The sequence below is a fragment of the Homo sapiens genome, chromosome 5, assembly GCF_000001405.40.
Source record: "Homo sapiens chromosome 5, GRCh38.p14 Primary Assembly".
Classification (NCBI taxonomy): Eukaryota; Metazoa; Chordata; class Mammalia; order Primates; family Hominidae; genus Homo; species Homo sapiens.
In genome coordinates this window covers 78,103,740-78,123,931 of record NC_000005.10, presented here as the reverse complement: position 1 = coordinate 78,123,931, position 20,192 = coordinate 78,103,740, and the positions used below count along the sequence as shown (strand labels likewise).

The 20,192-nt window shown below is 36.6% G+C and overlaps 1 protein-coding gene across 3 annotated transcripts in view; it reads left to right on the top strand.

Annotated features, from left to right (window-relative positions):
- Positions 1 to 20,192, top strand: part of AP3B1 (adaptor related protein complex 3 subunit beta 1) — a 294,177-nt gene that overhangs the window by 170,767 nt on the left and 103,218 nt on the right. For all 3 annotated transcript variants that reach the window (NM_001271769.2, NM_003664.5, NM_001410752.1), the window contains exons 18-20: positions 7,698 to 7,806; positions 10,009 to 10,180; positions 13,578 to 13,725. In NM_001271769.2, coding sequence (NP_001258698.1) covers positions 7,698 to 7,806; positions 10,009 to 10,180; positions 13,578 to 13,725 — 429 coding nt within the window. The remainder of the gene's footprint in view (positions 1 to 7,697; positions 7,807 to 10,008; positions 10,181 to 13,577; positions 13,726 to 20,192) is intronic.

Below are 20,192 nucleotides of genomic sequence, written 5' to 3'. Positions count from 1 at the left end.
TTGCTATTGTGAATAGTGCCGCAATAAACATACATGTGCCTGTGTCTTTATAGCAGCATGATTTATAATCCTTTGGGTATATACCCAGTAATGGGATGGCTGGGTCAAATGGTATTTCTAGTTCTAGATCCCTGAGGAATCGCCACACTGACTTCCACAATGGTTGAACTAGTTTACAGTCCCACCAACAGTGTAAAAGTGTTCCTATTTCTCCACATCCTCTCCAGCACCTGTTGTTTCCTGACTTTTTAATGATTGCCATTCTAACTGGTGTGAGATGGTATCTCATTGTGGTTTTGATTTGCATTTCTCTGATGGTCAGTGATGACGAGCATTTTTTCATGTGTTTTTTGGCTGCATAAATGTCTTCTTTTGAGAAGTGTCTGTTCACATCCTTCGCCCACTTTTTGATGGGGTTGTTTGTTTTTTTCTTGTAAATTTGTTTGAGTTCATTGTAGATTCTGGATATTAGCCCTTTGTCAGATGAGTAGGTTGCAAAAATTTTCTCCCATTCTGTAGATTGCCTGTTCACTCTGATGGTAGTTTCTTTTGCTGTGCAGAAGCTCTTTAGTTTAATTACGTCCCATTTGTCAATTTTGGCTTTTGTTACCATTGCTTTTGGTGTTTTAGACATGAAGTCCTTGCCCATGCCTCTGTCCTGAATGGTATTGCCTAGGTTTTCTTCTAGGGTTTTTATGGTTTTAGATCTAACATTTAAGTCTTTAATCCATCTTGAATTAATTTTTGTATAAGGTGTAAGGAAGGGATCCAGTTTCAGCTTTCTACATCTGGCTAGCCAGTTTTCCCAGCACCATTTATTAAATAGGGAATCCTTTCCCCGTTGCTTGTTTTTCTCAGGTTTGTCAAAGATCAGATGGTTGTAGATATGCGGCATTATTTCTGAGGGCTCTGTTCTGTTCCATTGATCTATATCTCTGTTTTGGTACCAGTACCATGCTGTTTTGGTTACTGTAGACTTGTAGTATAGTTTGAAGTCAGATGGCATGATGCCTCCAGCTTTGTTCTTTTGGCTTAGGATTGACTTGGCGATGCGGACTCTTTCTTGGTTCCATATGAACTTTAAAGTAGTTTTTTCCAATTCTGTGAAGAAAGTCATTGGTAGCTTGATGGGGATGGCATTGAATCTATAAATTACCTTGGGCAGTATGGCCATTTTCACGGTATTGATTCTTCCTACCCATGAGCATGGAATGTTCCTCCATTTGTTTGTATCCTCTTTTATTTCATTGAGCAGTGGTTTGTAGTTCTCCTTGAAGAGGTCCTTCCCATCCCTTGTAAGTTGGATTCCTAGGTATTTTATTCTCTTTGAAGCAATTGTGAATGGGAGTTCACTCATGATTTGGCTCTCTGTTTGTCCGTTATTGGTGTATAAGAATGCTTGTGATTTTTGCACATTGATTTTGTATCCTGAGACTTTGCTGAAGTTGCTTATCAGCTTAAGGAGATTTTGGGCTGAGACGATGGGTTTTCTAGATAAACAATCATGTCATGTGCAAACAGGGACAATTTGACTTCATCTTTTCCTAATTGAATGCCCTTTATTTCCTTCTCCTGCCTAACTGCCCTGGCCAGAACTTCCAACCCTATGTTGAATAGGAGTGGTGAGAGAGGGCATCCCTGTCTTGTGCCAGTTTTCAAAGGGAATGCTTCCAGTTTTTGCCCATGCTGTATGATATTGGCTGTGGGTTTGTCATAGATAGCTCTTATTATTTTGAGATACATCCCATCAATACCTAATTTATTGAGAGTTTTTAGCATGAAGGGTTGTTGAATTTTGTCAAAGGCCGTTTCTGCATCTATTGAGATAATCATGTGGTTTTTGTCTTTGGTTCTGTTTATATGCTGGATTACATTTATTGATTTGTGTATGTTGAACCAGCCTTGCATCCCAGGGATGAAGCCCACTTGATCATGGTGGATAAGCTTTTTGATGTGCTGCTGGATTCGGTTTGCCAGTATTTTATTGAGTATTTTTGCATCAATGTTCATCAAGGATATTGGTCTAAAATTCTCTTTTTTGGTTTGTGTCTCTGCCAGGCTTTGGTATCAGGATGATGCTGGCCTCCTAAAATGAGTTAGGGAGGCTTCCCTCTTTTTCTATTGATTGGAATAGTTTCAGAAGGAATGGTACCAGCTCCTCCTTGTACCTCTGGTAGAATTCGGCTGTGAATCCATCTGGTCCTGGACTTTTTTTGGTTGGTAAGCTACTGATTATTGTCACAATTTCAGAGCCTGTTATCGGTCTATTCAGAGATTCAACTTCTTCCTGGTTTAGTCTTGGGAGGGTGTATGTATCAAGGAATTTATCCATTTCTTCTAGATTTTCTAGTTTATTTGCGTAGAGATGTTTGTAGTGTTCTCTGATGGTAGTTTGTATTTCTGTGGGATCAGTGGTGATATCCCTTTTATCATTTTTTATTGCATCTATTTGATTCTTCTCTCTTTTCTTCTTTATTAGTCTTGCTAGCAGTCTATCAATTTTGTTGATCTTTTCAAAAAAGCAGCTCCTGGATTCATTGATTTTTTTGAAGGGTTTTTTCTGTCTCTATTTCCTTCAGTTCTGCTCTGATTTTAGTTATTTCTTGCCTTCTGCTAGCTTTTGAATGTGTTTGCTCTTGCTTTTCTAGTTCTTTTAATTGTGATGTTAGGGTGTCAATTTTGGATCTTTCCTGCTTTCTCTTGTGGGCATTCAGTGCTATAAATTTCCCTCTACACACTGCTTTGAATGTGTCCCAGAGATTCTGGTATGTGGTGTCTTTGTTCTCGTTGGTTTCAAAGAACATCTTTATTTCTGCCCTCATTTTGTTATGTACCCAGTAGTCATTCAGGAGCAGGTTGTTCAGTTTCCATGCAGTTGAGCGGTTTTGAGTGAGTTTCTTAATCCTGAGTTCTAGTTTGATTGCACTGTGGTCTGAGAGACAGTTCGTTATAATTTCTGTTCTATTACATTTGCTGAGGAGTGCTTTACTTCCAACTATGTGGTCAATTTTGGAATAGGTGTGGTGTGGTGCTGAGAAGAATGTATATTCTGTTGATTTGGGGTGGAGAGTTCTGTAGATGTCTATTAGGTCTGCTTGGTGCAGAGCTGAGTTCAATTACTGGGTATCCTTGTTAAATTTCTGTCTCGTTGATCTGTTTAATGTTGACAGTAGGGTGTTAAAGTCTCCCATTATTAATGTGTGGGAGTCTAAGTCTCTTTGTAGGTCACTCAGGACTTGCTTTATGAATCTGGGTGCTCCTGTATTGGGTGCATATATATTTAGGATAGTTAGCTCTTCTTGTTGAATTGATCCCTTTACCATTATGTAATGGCCTTCTTTGTCTCTTTTGATCTTTGTTGGTTTAAAGTCTGTTTTATCTGAGACTAGGATTGCAACCCCTGCCTTTTTTTGTTTTCCATTTGCTTGGTAGATCTTCCTCCATCCCTTTATTTTGAGTTTATGTGTGACTCTCCACGTGAGATGGGTTTCCTGAATACAACACACTGATGGGTCTTGACTCTTTATCCAATTTGCCAGTCTGTGTCTTTTAATTGGAGCATTTAGCCCATTTACATTTAAAGTTAATATTGTTATGTGTGAATTTGGTCCTGTCATTATGATGTTAGCTGGTTATTTTGCTCGTTAGTTGATGCAGTTTCTTCCTAGCCTTGATGGTCTTTACATTTTGGCATGTTTTTTGCAGTGGCTGGTACTGGTTGTTCTTTTCCATATTTAGTGCTTCCTTTAGGAGCTCTTTTAGGGCAGGCCGGGTGGTGACAAAACTCTCTCAGCATTTGCTTGTCTGTAAAGTATTTTATTTCTCCTTCACTTAGGAAGCTTAGTTTGGCTGGATATGAAATTCTGGGTTGAAAATTCTTTTCTTTAAGCATGTGGAATATTGGCCCCCACTCTCCTCTGGCTTGTAGAGTTTCTGCCAAGAGATCAGCTGTTAGTCTGATGGGCTTCCCTTTGTAGGTAACCCGACCTTTCTCTCTGGCTGCCCTTAACGTTTTTTCCTTCATTTCAAGTTTGGTGAATCTGACAATTATGTGTCTTGGAGTTGCTCTTCTCAAGGAGTATCTTTGTGGCGTTCTCTGTATTTCCTGAATCCGAATGTTGGCCTTTCTTGCTAGATTGGGGAAGTTCTCCTGGATAATATCCTGCAGAGTGTTTTCCCACTTGGTTCCATTCTACCCGTCACTTTCAGGTACACCAATGAGACGTAGATTTGGTCTTTTCACATAGTCCCACATTTCTTGGAGGCTTTGTTCGTTTCTTTTTGTTCTTTTTTCTCTAAACTTCCCTTCTCACTTCATTTCATTCATTTCGTCTTCCATCACTGATACCCTTTCTTCCAGTTGATCGCGTCGGCTCCTGAGGCTTCTGCGTTCTTCACATAGTTCTCGAGCCTTGGCTTTCAGCTCCATCAGCTCCTTTAAGGACTTCTCTGCATTGGTTATTCTAGGTATCCATTCGTCTAATTTTTTTTTAAAGTTTTTAACTTATTTGCCATTGGTTTGTATTTCCTCCTGTAGCTTGGAGTAGTTTGATCATCTGAAGCCTTCTTCTCTCAGCTCGTCAACGTCATTCTCCGTCCAGCTTTGTTCTGTTGCTGGTGAGGAGCTGCGTTCCTTTGGAGGAGGAGAGGCACTCTGCTTTTTAGAGTTTCCAGTTTCTCTGCTCTGTTTTTTCCCCATCTTTGTGGTTTTATCTACTTTTGATCTTTGATGATGGTGATGTACAGATGGGTTTTTGGTGTGGATGTCCTTTCTGTTTGTTAGTTTTCCTTCTAACAGACAGGACCCTCAGCTGAAGGTCTGTTGGAGTTTGCTAGAGGTCAACTCCAGACCCTGTTGCCTGGGTATCAGCAGCGGTGGGTGCAGAACAGCAGTGGCTATAGAACAGCGGATATTGGTGAACTGCAAATGCTGCTGCCTGATCGTTCCTCTGGAAGTTTTGTCTCAGGGGAGTACCCGGCCGTGTGAGGTGTCAGTCTACCCCTACTGGGGGGTGCCTCCCAGTTAGGCTGCTTGGGGGTCAGGGACCCACTTGAGGAGGCAGTCTGCCCGTTCTCAGATCTCCAGCTGCGTGCTGGGAAAACCACTCCTCTCTTCAAAGCTGTCAGACAGGGACATTTAAGTCTGCAGAGGTTACTGCTGTCTTTTTGTTTGTCTGTGCCCTGGCCCCAGAGGTGGAGCCTACAGAGGCAGGCAGGCCTCCTTGAGCTGTGGTGGGCTCCATCCAGTTCGAGCTTCCTGGCTGCTTTGTTTACCTAATCAAGCCTGGGCAATGGCAGGCGCCCCTCCCCCAGCCTCACTGCCGCCTTGCAGTTTGGTCTCAGACTGCTGTGCTAGCAATCAGCAAGACTCCGTGGGTGTAGGACCCTCTGAGCCAGGTGTGGGATATAATCTCCTGGTGTGCCGTTTTTGAAGCCCGTTGGAAAAGCGCAGTATTAGGGTGGGAGTGACCCGATTTTCCAGGTGCCGTCTGTCACCCCTTTCTTTGACTAGGAAAGGGAACTCCCTGACCCCTTGCGCTTCCTGAGTGAGGCAATGCCTCATCCTGCTCCGGCTTGCGCACAGTGCGCTGCACCCACTGTCTGGCACTCTCTAGTGAGATGAACCTGGTGGTACCTCAGATGGAAATGCAGAAATCACCCGTCTTCTGCGTCGCTCACGCTGGGAGCTGTAGACCGGAGCTGTTCCTATTCGGCCATCTTGGCTCCACCCTCCTGGAGATTTTTTAAATAAAACAAAACTAGGTCAAATGTGCACCAGACTAATTAAATCAGAATTTTAGGAGGTGAATCTAGGTATTTGTTTTTTTAGTATTAATATTTGTATTGTTTATATTAGCGTTTAAAAACTATTCTCAGGTGATTCTATTGTACATTCAGTGCTGAGAAACATTCTTGAATAAGAAATTCTGTCATGCTGTAGACTCCTTTACAATAAAATAGGTACTCTAGCAAAGACTTGCACATAGGAAAAACTCAAAGGTACAATCAATAAATGAGTCTCAACTATTTTATCTTTTCAGAAGTATACATTTCCCTGCTTTTTAAAAAATCATATATGAAGCATGATTTAATTTCTTCTTGACAAATCAAGGCCATGACTATAAAAGCAAACTAATACTCTGTATTAAAGTGGTTAAAGGGGCTCATATTAGTAAATGCTGTTACTAATACAATATTTAGTAAACACTAAAGTCAGTATTTTTCTTAAGCATGTTTCTGAATTTAATATTGAAGTCTTTAAGAGGCTAATAAATATAATTAGTATTTATTGTGTCAGCCACACTTAAAATTGAACAAAATAGGCTGGACGTGGTGGCTCACACCTGTAATCCCAGCACTTTGGGAGGTCGAGGCAGGTGGATCACCTGAGGTCAGGAGTTAGAGACCAGCCTGGGCAACATAGTGAAATCCTGTCTCTACTAAAAATACAAAAATTAGCTGGGCGTGGTGGTGGGTGCCTGTGATCCCAGCTACTTGGGAGGATGAGGCAGGACAATCGCTTGAACCTAGGAGGCAGAGTTTGCAGTGAGCCGAGATCCTGTCACCATACTCCAGCCTGGGCGACGGAGCGAGACTCCGTCTCAAAAAAAAAAAAAAATTGCACAAAATATTTTAAATTCCCTGCTCTCCAGAAACTTACATTCTACCAGGGATAGACCAACAGTTAAAAAAACAAGTAGATTGTATAGTATGTTAACAAGTAATACATGCTGTGATTAAAAAAAAAAAAAAAAAAAAGGTGGTGGGGAATGGTGTTGGAAGTGCCAAGAGCTAGGGTGAAGGCCCTAAACTGGGAGCATGCCTGGGACGTTTGGAGGAACAGTAAGGCATGGCCAGAGCAGATCAGGCAAGAGGGTGAGCAGCAAGAGGTGAGAGAGGCAGGCGACGGGGACAGTTGTGGAGGGGCAGTCATGAAAGGATGGTTGTATTGGGCTGTGCAGACTGTTGTAGGGACTTCGGCTTTTTCTCTGAGTAAAATGGGGAGCCACTGCAGGGTTTCAGGCCAAAAAGGAGCTTGCTCTCATTTAGGTTTTAATATAATCATTCTAGATGCTGTGTTTTGCAAAGTTTGTTTGCTGGGGGCAGGGTGGAGGGGCAGTAGAAGCAAGGTAACGAGTAGTCCAGGAGAGAAGGGTGGGTCAGACCAGGGTAGCTACAGGATTTCTTGATGGCTTAGATGTTTAGGATATGAGAAAAAAAGAGAAGTCAAGGATTACTCCAGGATTTAGGCTGTTGAGATGGTTAGGGCAATTTATTGCCTACACTAAATATTTTCTTTTCTTTCTTTTTTTTTTTCTCTCTTTTCCCTCAGTGTCAAGCTATCAACTTGTGTTTGTTATTGCTGTTATTGTATCTGCTTCTAGTTTCGCTCACCTATTTTAGGATATATTACTTTTGTTTAAATCTTCTGTGGGCCAAAAAACACAAAAGTTTTAAAAATTGTATATTTAAAATAAGATTGTTGGTTTAACATAGGGCCTCTGAGTGAGAGTTTGTGTTGTTGTATTTAGGAGTAAAGTGAATCAGCCTTAATGCCAGGACTTCTAACAGTTGCATTCCCTGTGGAGGCCTTAAGCTTGCTTTTGAATTCAGTTATGTTGTTAATGATTAAGTTTGCCAGAACTCTAAATCTCTGAATGAGAATTCATTTATATTTACTTTATTTGTTTAAACAGGCAAAAGAATGGACCCCAGCAGGAAAAGCAAAGCAAGAGAATTCTGCTAAGAAGTTTTATTCTGAATCTGAGGAAGAGGAGGACTCTTCTGATAGTAGCAGTGACAGTGGTGGGTTTTATAATTTATTGGCATATATTATTTACATAGTAGATTACATTCTATATCTCAGAAACAAGGCCTAATCCATAATATTCAGCAGGTAGTTTTAAGTGAAGTTTGTATTATCAAAATAATCCCTTTCATTTATATATCACTCTTTAGTTTTCAAAGTAATTTTTAATTACTAAATTCTCTTTTTACTTTACAATATCTCTTGGATAGTAGCTGATACATTGGTATAGCTGAAACAGGAACTCATACTTTTCTGAATTCTAAACCACAATGCCTAATATATCTATTGAAAAACATAATTTTACACTTGATGAACTTTTAGTGGGGTCTTTAAAAGTAACTTTCTTTTACAAAAACGTAAAGTTTATTTTATACCTTGAAGAGTCTTTTTCTCTTTCATTTTATACTTATCTCTTTCTGTGAACCTCTATAGAGATAAAGCTAAAATTATTAAGTCTCTATATACTATAAAAAAATCAAACTAAAGGTTGAGGGTAACTATATGCAGTGAAAAGAATGCTTAATAGGAAGGATTTAGAGGCCCTGGCTTTTACCTATGCAAATTGAATAAGGCACCTACTTTTCTCTATATCAGATAAATGAAGGGGTACAGTTAAATATTTCTTAAAGTCCCTTCATTGCTAAAATTCTGTGAGTGATTTGCATAATGAAAAATAGATTGTAGTCACTTTCTGATGCTCTTATTAACACTTAAGCTAATAGGCAAATCTGACCCAAGACCAAACGACACCCAACTTTCTCTAAAATCTTTATTCCTTGGAGAACCAGGGCCTGTCACTCTTACATGGTTATCTGCTACCCTACTGTAAGGTAATTCACTCTTCTTTTCTCTGTCTTCCTTATCAAAAATCTTTGTTTTTAGTATCTGATAAATTAATCTGTGATACATTACCTGTAATTTCTTTCATTGTTTATAGCATAAGCCAGTTATCTGACTTAATATGTATGTGCGTGTAACTTGGATATTACCACAAATCTAAAATGTCCTTATTTAGTAGCTTTATTTTAGTAAAATAAACTTTCCTGTTTGTAAATGATGATAATGATGAGTGCCTTACCCTGTGGCAGACCCTGTTGTGTTCTAATCTCCTTTGTATGTTTCAAATCATTTAATCTTCACAACAGCTCTGAAAAGTAACTAGTGTTATCCCCATTTGCTGAAAAGGAAACCAAAACCCAGAGAAGTTGAATAACTTGTTCAGTTTTACAACTGGCAAGTAGAAGAGCCAGGATCTGAATCCGAACACTAACTTGAGAACCCATGCTTGTACCCCTTGTAAGCCGTCTTAAAACAATACAGGCAGTCCTAGGTTTTCACTGTGATGGACCTTCCTGATGTTGGTATTATTTAACCATTAGAATGTTTAATTAAAGGTTATGTTCCTGCCTAAGAGGGCTTCGTTACATAGATCACAGGCAGGGCAACAGTTTGTCCTTTTGTCTGGGACACAACTCTGTAGTTATAGTCATTTTAAATAGTAAAAATTATGCTTCACTTAAAAAATACACATATATTCTTCATGTATTCTCTTCTGCGAACAGTCCTAGCATACCATAATTTACACATAAAACATTTAAAAGTATAATTCCTCAGTGTAACTTGATCATCTCTTTGACCTATGGAAAACTCGTTTACTAGCTCGAATAAGTAATAACTCTTTAATTAGTCATTTTGCCTATTGTCTTTGAATTTGGAGGTCTTTCCAAGTGATTTGAATGGCTCATTTTCCTCTCAAAATTTGTTCCTAAGAAGATTCAACTGTTGCCTTCTTTTACTCTAAATAGAATTTCCCATTACAAGCAGAAGAATTCAAAATTATTTCTTTAGCCTTACATCAATCCTTACGTAATTCTTTAAAAGAAAGTTTTTGACATAGCTATATACTTTGGGGTTTGAAGTGAGATTCCCTCAAATTTGGTTTACTTGGTTCACCTTTGCTTAGCTTTTCTCTCCTCGTTGTCAGAGCATCCTCTGTCTGCCTCCCTCCAAGCTCACAGTGCTAAAGGAATCCATAGAGCTGAAAGAATGGGGTGTGGGAATAAAATGTTAAACAAGTGGTGTCCACTGAACTAAAATTCAACATCTGGTTTCATTTGTGATGAATATTGACAGTTACAGGTGTCCGTGTGTCTAATTAAATGACTATAAATCTAAGAACATCTGGTTCTGTTTTTCAGAGAGTGAATCTGGAAGTGAAAGTGGAGAACAAGGCGAAAGTGGGGAGGAAGGAGACAGCAATGAGGACAGCAGTGAGGACTCCTCCAGTGAGCAGGACAGTGAGAGTGGACGGGAGTCAGGCCTAGAAAACAAAAGAACAGCCAAGAGGAACTCAAAAGCCAAAGGAAAAAGGTAACTTATTTTGTCAGAATTTCCTTCAAAAAATATTCTGTGAAAGTTTGCCCCAGGCAGAGATGTTTCTTATTAATCAAAAAATGGTGAGAGAAAAAAAGTGTGTATTTTTTTCCAGATATTAAATCTTTTTAAAATTAAAGTGCTAGTTGTTCACATTATTTTCCTACTTGTAATGCTTAGCTTTCATTTTGAACTTGAACATATCTTGGGGTTACATTTTGAAAATTGGTATAACCTTGGAAGGCTGAGTTAAGTGATCAAGCAATAGGTATGAAACACTTAATTACCTTTTGTAGCGATTTTGCTGAGGGCTAAAATTAAATCCTTCAACACTTTGCCATTATGTAACCAAGACAATTGATTTTTCTAAATAATGTTATATTAAAAAGATTATGATCCAAATATTAGAGTCAAGGGCTGTGAAGGAAGACGGTCATAAGATCTTTAAGTGTTAGCACTTTTTAAGATCTCCCATTATCAATAACATTATCATGTATTAAAGTGTCATTAAAATTTTGAGTAATTGGGTCTAATATCTTGGATTGTGCAACTCTGTTTTCCCCGCTGCTGTCAGCGAGTGGCCTCTGCCGACATGATGGTCCTTTCCCCGGGAGCCTGCTGCCCGCTCACTTGATGAGCTTGCAGCCCGGCTCAGTCGTGGCTGACAGCACTGATTGGGGCGCAGTACGCTCTCTGCTCCTTTTATTACAGACAGTAATTAAAGCAGCTCTCCCTGCCACTTCCATAACAAACACAGCATAATGCCCTAATTATGACTTTATTAATTTAAGTCAGGATTTAATGATTTTAAAAGTGATTTATATTGTTTTTCCTGTTCAGAACAAATGAAATCTGTAGGTTAAATTAATACAGGCTTTTCATCATTGCAAAGTTAAAAACCTAGTTACCAGTAAATTCTTTTCATTAGATTAACATCTGAAACTCTAAGCAGTAAGGTAAACAATAATTACCATCAAAATTGAGTGATGCATAATAAAATAACACTTTTACTTTTAAAATCTTATCTTAAAAGCTAGAAGTTGAATATATTTAGAATCATTCACTTGTTGCAGCAAAGGAGCTACTTGGTTTATAATAGCCTTGTCTTTGAGAGAAATCCTGTACTTCTGCTTTAATATCAGCATGTCTATGATGATACGAGTTATAAAACATGTCCTGTTTCTAGAAAGGGAAAGTTTTGTTCAGTGCATGAAATGTCCTTTCAGATGGCAAAAGTCAGTATACTCAAAATTTGTAGTCATGTATTAGGTTTATTATTCTTTTCTTCAGAAATGGATTTTTCTCTTTACCCATGTTTGAATTTAAAAGAATTGTTTATTACAAAGAGAACCACAAATACATTCTAAACCTTATATTTTTAAGTACACATTTTAACCAGTGAATTGGGGATAATAAATTGCCATTTTTTTGCCAGGGAAAAACAACAACATATTTTTCAGTCTTCAAATATAATTACATGTGCTCTGAGATGTTACCATGGCTCCATTTTTAATAAATAGCAATCATATTTCCTCCACAAAAATCAATTCTAGGAAATATTGATTCTTTCCTTGTCTCACTCCTCTCCCTCCCCCTGTATTTTTCTGTCTCAGAATTTTTTTTAACTTTGCCAGTATGATAATTTTTTAAAGCTCCTAATAAGCTTTAAACATCTTCAAAAACCACCCTTTAGTAATCATAAATATTTATGACCAAATTTAAATTTTACACTCCAAGGTATTTTCATTTGAAGGGAGATAGTATGACATAGTGGAAAAAATACGGACTTTGGAATGAGACAGGCTTGAGTTCAGATTCTAGTTCTGCCCCTCTTGTTATGTGCCCTTGAGCAGGTTATTTAACCTTTCTAAATATTAATTTCATTATTGTAAATGGGATAATAATGTACCCAGGAAGAGTGCATTTAAATTAGATAATTAGTATGATTGGTATGAAGTGCCTAGCCCTTTCTGGCCCACAGTAGATTCTTAAAAAAATACACACACATGTGGTAGAGAGAACTAGACCTTTAGTTTCCAGGAAAATATAAAGCACCACAAGGCATTTGTCATCCCCTGAGAGAAGGGTGTTTGGTCATCTCACATGTTATTCCTTCTCCTTGGAGAACTGTTTCCCTGCCCATCTGCCAGCCTTACTCCTATATCTTGGCTTATATGTCTCTTTCTCCAGGAAGCATTCCTAATTGGATCAAGTTTTTTTAGGTGTCTCTCCACATGTTCTCCTGACACGCTATAATTTATTACTTATTACTTATTATACTGTATTATCACTGCAACCTTATCTGTATCCTCCAGTGGACCGTAGACCCTGTAGGGTAGACACACAGAGATCCTCTGTGTCTTACTAACCATCGTTATCCTTAGCACCTAGCATAATGCCAACATGTAGTCAATAATTAATAAATATTTGTTGAGCAGGTGAACAAATGAATGGTGTTAAGCACTTAGGTATGATCATTTGATATTTTAAAAGTTTATATTTGATTAGCTTAAATTTTTAGCAAGATAGTACTTTAGAAGAATTTCCTTTGAACTGGTTAACATTTTCTCATAGAATGTGTTTAAGGTCACATTTGGGAACTTGTGTAAGTAATTTTCTTGGGTAGAAAATGTATAAAATACAAGTCTATTTTAGCAGAAGTAGATATATAAATATTTAAATATATTACTAAACCAGGTGTGGTGGCTCAAGCCTATAATCCCAATATTTTGGGAGGTCAAGTTGGGAGGACTACTCGAGCCCAGAAGTTCCAGACCAGCCTAGGCAACCTAGTGAGACCCTGTCTCTACAAAAAATATAAAATTAGCTGGATGTGGTGGTGCATGCCTGTAGTCCCAACTACTTGGGAGGCTGAAATGGGAGCATCGCTTGAGCCCGGGAGGTCAAGGCTGCAGTGAGCCGTGATTGCACCACTGTACAATGAGACCCTGTCTCATATACGTATATATATACGTATATATACATGAATATATATGTATATACGTATATATATACATGTATGTATACATACATACACACACACACACACACACACACACACACAGGCACAGTATTTTGAGATAGCGTTTTAAAAAATCAGCCTAAATATCTTTAACGTTGTTACTGGTAGTACTTAATTCTTGGTAAATCAAACATTTAATGTTTTCTACATTGCTTTTGATTATATTGTTTAGTGTCATTTTATGACTTTTTGCATTTGAAATTTGTATGACAGGATAGAATTGAATTTGAATGGGTTCTAATTTATTTGGTTATGGGTAATACCTTTTTTATTACCTCATTAATGTATTCTGGAATTTAAAAACAATTTTTTTATAAACTGCTTATATAAAGGAGTTAAAGTTCATATTTCAAAATTTACTATTATGTGTAGTGATTCTGAAGATGGGGAGAAGGAAAATGAAAAATCTAAAACTTCAGATTCTTCAAATGACGAATCTAGTTCAATAGAAGACAGTTCTTCCGATTCTGAATCAGAGTCAGAACCTGAAAGTGAATCTGAATCCAGAAGAGTCACTAAGGTAAGAGATTATACATTTGTTGTAATTGAAGGTAAATATTCTTATAGCAACTAAAATAGACAACACCATCCTCATCTACTCCTGTGATTTTATTTTTTCTAGATAAGCCTTTCCCTTATAACCCAACTCTGCAGAAATGCTAGAAACTTTAAAAAATCTCATCCCTTGCCACTGAAATCAAGGAACTCTTACGCATATGACCTTTTTTGTTCTTGGCTAGGTTGTGACAAGGGGGGGGTTTTGCTGAAGGGGAAGTGAAAGGAAGTCACAAAAATAGTATTGAGCAAAGAATTATAAGTGTACATACATCATAAGAAATTGAGACTATTCACTTTTTAAAAATATTGGGCATTTTGCATAATAGAGTGTGTTTTAAGGCTTCAATTAAAGAGTATACATTCTTTAGTTAGTAAGAATTTGCGTAGCCATTTATTTAAAAACAAATGGAACCACTTATATAATAAAATAATAATGCTTTTTGGTAATAACATTTTTAACACTGAATTTTGCCTGCTTAGCAGGAAAAAAATAAAGTATAAATTGCAAAAATATAGTTATTAATATAAAATGTATTCTATCTGATTTCAAGTCTAGTTAAAAGAATAAAAATATAGAATTCAGACCTAACGATAATTATCTTTTTGGTCTTTAATAATCACCCCCTTCCTATAACTGGACCATGTTCATGCTAGACTTCAAGTATAGTATTTTTATATACAACTGTGTTATTCTGTTTGTTGAAAATATGGCCAAACTCTGCCTTTGATTCAGTTCAATTTCTTCTTAATCCAATATTGTTTTCGTTTATTTGTTCTGTTAACTGGAATCTCTTCAATATGTTATCTGAGTAGGCAAGGATGAAAATTAATTTATTGAAGTAGACAATTGCCCTCCCCCATCCAGAGATTTATTGTTAAAGAATGTTTTAAAAATTGGCTAGTATTTGTCTTGCCTTATTTCACATTTTCTTGCATATATTAAAACCTATCTTAAACTTGAATTTATATTTAAAACTTGTGTCTGTATATAAAATAACCTGAGATTTTTATTTTTAAAAAATTCACATAAAATCTTAAGAGATTTTATGGTTTATTAATCTGGCCTCATATAAAAACTTATCACTTAGTGAGTCTGATGTACTCTCATTTCATACTTACATCAAATTACCAGAAAGTTTAAAATGTTATTGAAAATAAAGAGAGTTACAAATCGACAGTAAATACAACCCAGAGTAAGAAGTATTTTTTAAAAATGACAGAACAAGAAATCAGTGAGTGTCAAGTGGTAGAAGTTATTCTTAGGAAATTTTGTAACAGTTGAAAAATTATAGACTTCAGTGCCTCTGTAGTATTAGAAGCAGAGCTTTAGGATCCCATTAAAAAGCCACAGTGGTTGAACATCATGTTGTGTTGTACCCCTTCCTCCCCCTGAAAAAAACAAAAGAAGATAAAAACCACAGGGGCACTCCAGGTCAGTGATTCTGTTTGTTTCTTCTTTGTCAAAGACTTTCAGTGATCAGATTAAATCTCTTGATAGTTAAAAATATTTTCCTATAGAACGTCAGTATAAAAAACCTCAAACTATTGCAGTGAACCAAGGCCTTTGAGAAATTCGGGTTTCGCTCACATTGTTGATAGTTTTGTGTTCATGTGTTTCCCTTAGGTGGCTTATTTTCTTTATATTAGAATGCCTTTTCCCATCTATAATAGGCATACAGGACTGTGGAGTTTTTTGCTTTAGTTTAGCAACTGGAATAAGTACTCTCCACCTTGGAGCTACCATAACTACTTATTTATTTCTGTTTCTTTCTGAATGATTTGGTGTATACCATGCAATTACAGAATATACCTATTTTCTAATAATAGGTGACTATAATTGTGGAAAAGTCCTCCTTGCACCAAGTGTTGTGGCTTCTGCCCTAAATTATGAGTAATGAAGGCAGATGGTGGGTACTTTACTTTAATTTAGCATGACAATATGTTAGTGCTGAAAATTCATATGCCTTATATCTGCAGCCTAACTAAATCTATATTTTTACTCTTTCTTTTCTTTTTTTTCATCCAGACAATGTGTTTTGAGGGCACTGAGCATGAAAATGCGACCTAGGAGTTACCTTGAATATATGGCTTTCAAAACAGTTAATTTTTATGGTAGTCCTATGAGATAAGCATAGTGTTCTACTTGTTGGGAGAGAATATCTTTGTTTCAGTTTCCTCATCTGTAAAGCAGACATGCTAGTACCTACCTTACTTCTTTCAAGTGTTATGTTAAAAATAAAATATGAAAGATCAATGTAACACACTATGTAACTATAAAACAACAGTTTTAACATTTTTAAAAATTCCATAAAAGATCAACAGTATTGGAGAACATCAAATGCTAAAAGTAACCTAAATTTTTTGGTAACTCTTAAGTATCCTGCTCTTTTTTTTTCACTCTTTTTACACTATTCAAGTTGTAAGGCAACATTTAATTCTGTTCCCTTACCTACAGCCTCTGAGCTTAGCCACTTTCCTTAGAAGACAGCTGCCATCCACGGTCAGTGTTTCTGCTCTCTAACTCACAATCTCCATTTACCCTACTTTTCCTTTGAACGCAGCTCTGTGTAAGACTCGCATCCACTTCCCCAAGGGTAACTCCTACTTCCTTTTGGTCTTGTTTTGTTAATAATCATCTGTCTCCTTTGCACCTTTAATCTCTTTCTCCATTCATTCCTTTTCTGCCAACTGTGGCATTCAGGTTTTTTCAGCATTTAAAGAGAGAGAGAGGGAGCATGGAGTGAAAAAAACAGAGTGTGTGTACATGAGTGAGAGTGAGTTTAGAAAAATATTCTACATATCCTCCATCTTGTACTTCTTAACCCAGTTATTTCCAACTCTATCCTACACATACTGCTCTCTGAAAAGGCAGCTATGATCCTTCCCCAAACCCAGTAGCCTTCTCTTAATCTTGATCTTTTTTTATGACTATTCCCCTACTACTTAAAAGTCTCTGCATCCCTTTTGTTCTTACTTTTTTGACCTTTCATTCTTTTGGTTGCTTCACTTTTTACACGCCTCTGACACCCAAGTGTGAATGTTGACCCCAAATTAGTACTTAGTACACATTAGTCTTTTGAGATATTAATTGATGTGAATGAATTTTTCTTTAATCTTCTTTTTTCCCTCTAAATTTTTCCTGTTGTGAGACCTCATTCACTCCTATAGCTTCAGCTAAAACATTTATATTAATTACTTCCATGGTAACATCTTTCAGTCTTTACATTAAGTTTCAGCTTTTCTTCCCAAATTCATACCAAATTTTTAGACCTCTCTGAGGCTACTGGTTTTCCAAACCTAATACAATCAAAAGACATGCTCTACCATTTGTCACCAGCATTCTTTTCATTCTCCCAGATCTGAAGCCCCAGAATTATCTCTGACTACTCTGTCATTCTGTATGTTTAGATAGTTACCAACTCCTATATGTTCTGTGCGTTATTTCTCATGTCTGTTTCTTCTTTCCCTACTGCCACTATTCTAGATTAGCTCTTCATTACCTGCATAGACCATTGCCATTGGTCATCCTCTGACCAATGCTTTCCCAACCCCAAGTCCTTCTATACAACTGCCAGATGGATATTAAATTCACCTGTCCTGATGGCCCACTGCCATTTGAGTTCAGTAAACTCAGGCTAGCTTGCCCAAACCTACCTTGTCTTAACCCTACCCACCTTGTGTTCTTTCTTTCTTTCTTTCTTTCTTTTTTTTGAGACAGAGTCTTGCTCTGTCACCCAAGCTGGAATGCAGTGGCATGATCCCAGCTCTCTGCAGCTTCGACCTCCAAGTCTCAGGTGATCCTCCCACCTCAGCCTCCTGGGTAGCTGGGACTATAGGCATGCACTACCATGCTTGGCTAATTTTTTGTATTTTTAATAGAGAGGGGTTTCTCCATGTTGCCCAGGCTGGTCTCGACCTCCTGGGCTCAAGCGATCCACCCACCTCAGCCTCCCAAAGTGCTGGGATTACAGGCATGGGCAACCGTGCCCAGCCACACACACTAAATTCTAATCCCAGTGGAATATTTGTGGTTCTATTAACACTCTGTATTCTTTCCTATTTCTATGCCTTTGTTCTTTCTTTTTGCATCATTTACTACACAAAATAAAAGCTAGGGAGAAAGTGGCCTCATATCACTGTGACCCTCCACTTCTCCTAGTTGGGAATGGCTGCAGGGAATGAAAAATGTTACTGATGATGGGGTATCACTCATGTGAATGGGATAGTCAAAAGGGTGAGAACCACAGGTGGATTATTTATGTTCTTAAAATGCCCCAGCATATTCACGAGGCACAAAACTATAGTCACACATTCAGGTGCCATGTTTGTTTGTTTGTGTTATTGATTGGAATATGTCCTCATTTGAGGTCAGATGTTGTTAGTAATGACCATAGAAAATTTCCTTGTTTTAGTTATAATTATGTTGATTGATAAGCGTATTTTATGTGTAGGTGTTATTTTCTGAGATATATTTAATTGAGAAATATTTTTAGTATAGTCCTTTCAATGAAGTAATTCTTTTGTTCCAAATAACACCTATAACAAAATTACTTTTAGTAATTCCTTATTTTAAGTGATTTCACATACTTTACACAATGTAAAGGGGAAATTTTTTTTTATATGAAACAGTGGAGAGAAAATTCAGTGATGTAGACCACATTGTGTCAGGAAGAGATTCACATTTATATCACTTTATCCTGTTTTTGACCAATATAATTAAGTTATATTCTGCTTGTAGTTAAAATTATGTGAACAGATGGTGAAAAAATTTATTTAAAATAATGCTTTTAAAGTTTCCAGGATTTTTATCCTTCATGAAACCTAGGCTTCAGTGTTCTTACAACTACCCAGTATATTAGAGTGCTCCTCCACACCATAGTTATTTCAGCTACGTTGTTAGTCCACTATTCGCACCTTATTCATGATGCAATATTCTAGTTATATCTGTAGTGTCTGTGTACTAATGGCTGAAGATTTAGATACTCTATGATTAAAATGATAAAAACTTTAAATTATGATTGTAATTTATTGTGAGTAAATTTTATGTATTTTCCTTATATGAACATTTTAATTACATAAACTATATAAAGCATAATAATCTACCAATGTGAAATAAATATTAAGTATTTAATGTACTTGCACTTAATAATACTTAATATTAAAAGCATTTCAGTATTTGAATTAAAACTAAGATTAAGGTACATACTAGCTATGAAGAAAATAGTACCAACTGTATATACGTAGCAGTGTTTGAGTTGCTCTTGTCAGTTGTTTTTATCTCAGGTTATATTTGTGTCTCAAAACTTTGCTAATTCCTTTTGGGAGGTGCAAAGAAACTGAGTGAATCTCTTAGGTGCTCTAACGATCAGTCACTAGGATTTGACTGGTGTCTGAATGTCAGTAAATGTTAAGATTTGCCTTAATAAAAGATTTTGGCAATAAAGATCTTTTATTTGAAAGATTCTTGGGGATAAAGTAAATTTGGCATGTGGTGTGAAATAAATCATGGATAAGAGTGAAAGGAACAATTTTTTGATTGGTTTTATGTTCTATTTGAAAAGTAAGCAAGTTTTAGTTATGTTTTTACAACTATTTTTGTATGTTGCAATTATATAACTTTTATAAATATTGAAGAATATTGGGTTTTACTGTTATAATGCAAAGCCTTGCCTCTCAGTTTATGTCTTTCCTGATTTCATTTATATTTTAAGTTCTCTAAAATAAAAATATTATTCAATTGCAGTTGAGACCTTTGAAAGGAAGTGAATGCCATTAAGCAGGCTTTCTTATTGAAGTAGGCGTACTCTAATAGGAAAAGATCTGTTTTAGTGGGTTAGACTTCTTTTTAACTTATAAAGAAGTCTCAATTTACTAGCAGTGTACTTTTGTTTTAAAGCACAAGTTTAAGTGTTAGCCTCAGATTTTTAAAATCATATTTGTCAGTTAACTTGAAGGAAAAAAGTCATTAAATTATCTTTGGTTGATAATTCTAATTGAAAATATTTCATGCAAATATCTTGTCCTGTGAGGCTAGAAATTAGCTTTGACTTCTTGTTGATTTCAAAGCACAGTATGGCTTTGACAGACTTTACATACTGCTTATCCTATTTTATAGTTTCAAATTTCAAACCTCTTTACAATGGTTTCCTCTTAGAATGCATATTTGATGCTTGTCATGTCAGATCTTTTTTGCTATTTGCCTTTTTTTTAATCAGCATGAAAATGAACATGCATAATACATTAACAAATCTTTTCAGGTGTATTGTAACATATTTTTGTTTGTATTATTTGGAGGTTAATAAGTATTTCCAGGATCTTTTATTTATTATTTGAAGTGAAATACATTAAATAGAAATCAGTTTTTTTGACCCTGTGACTTTGTATTGCATTTTGAAAATGTTGATGTGTTGAGGTGTATAATTGAATACC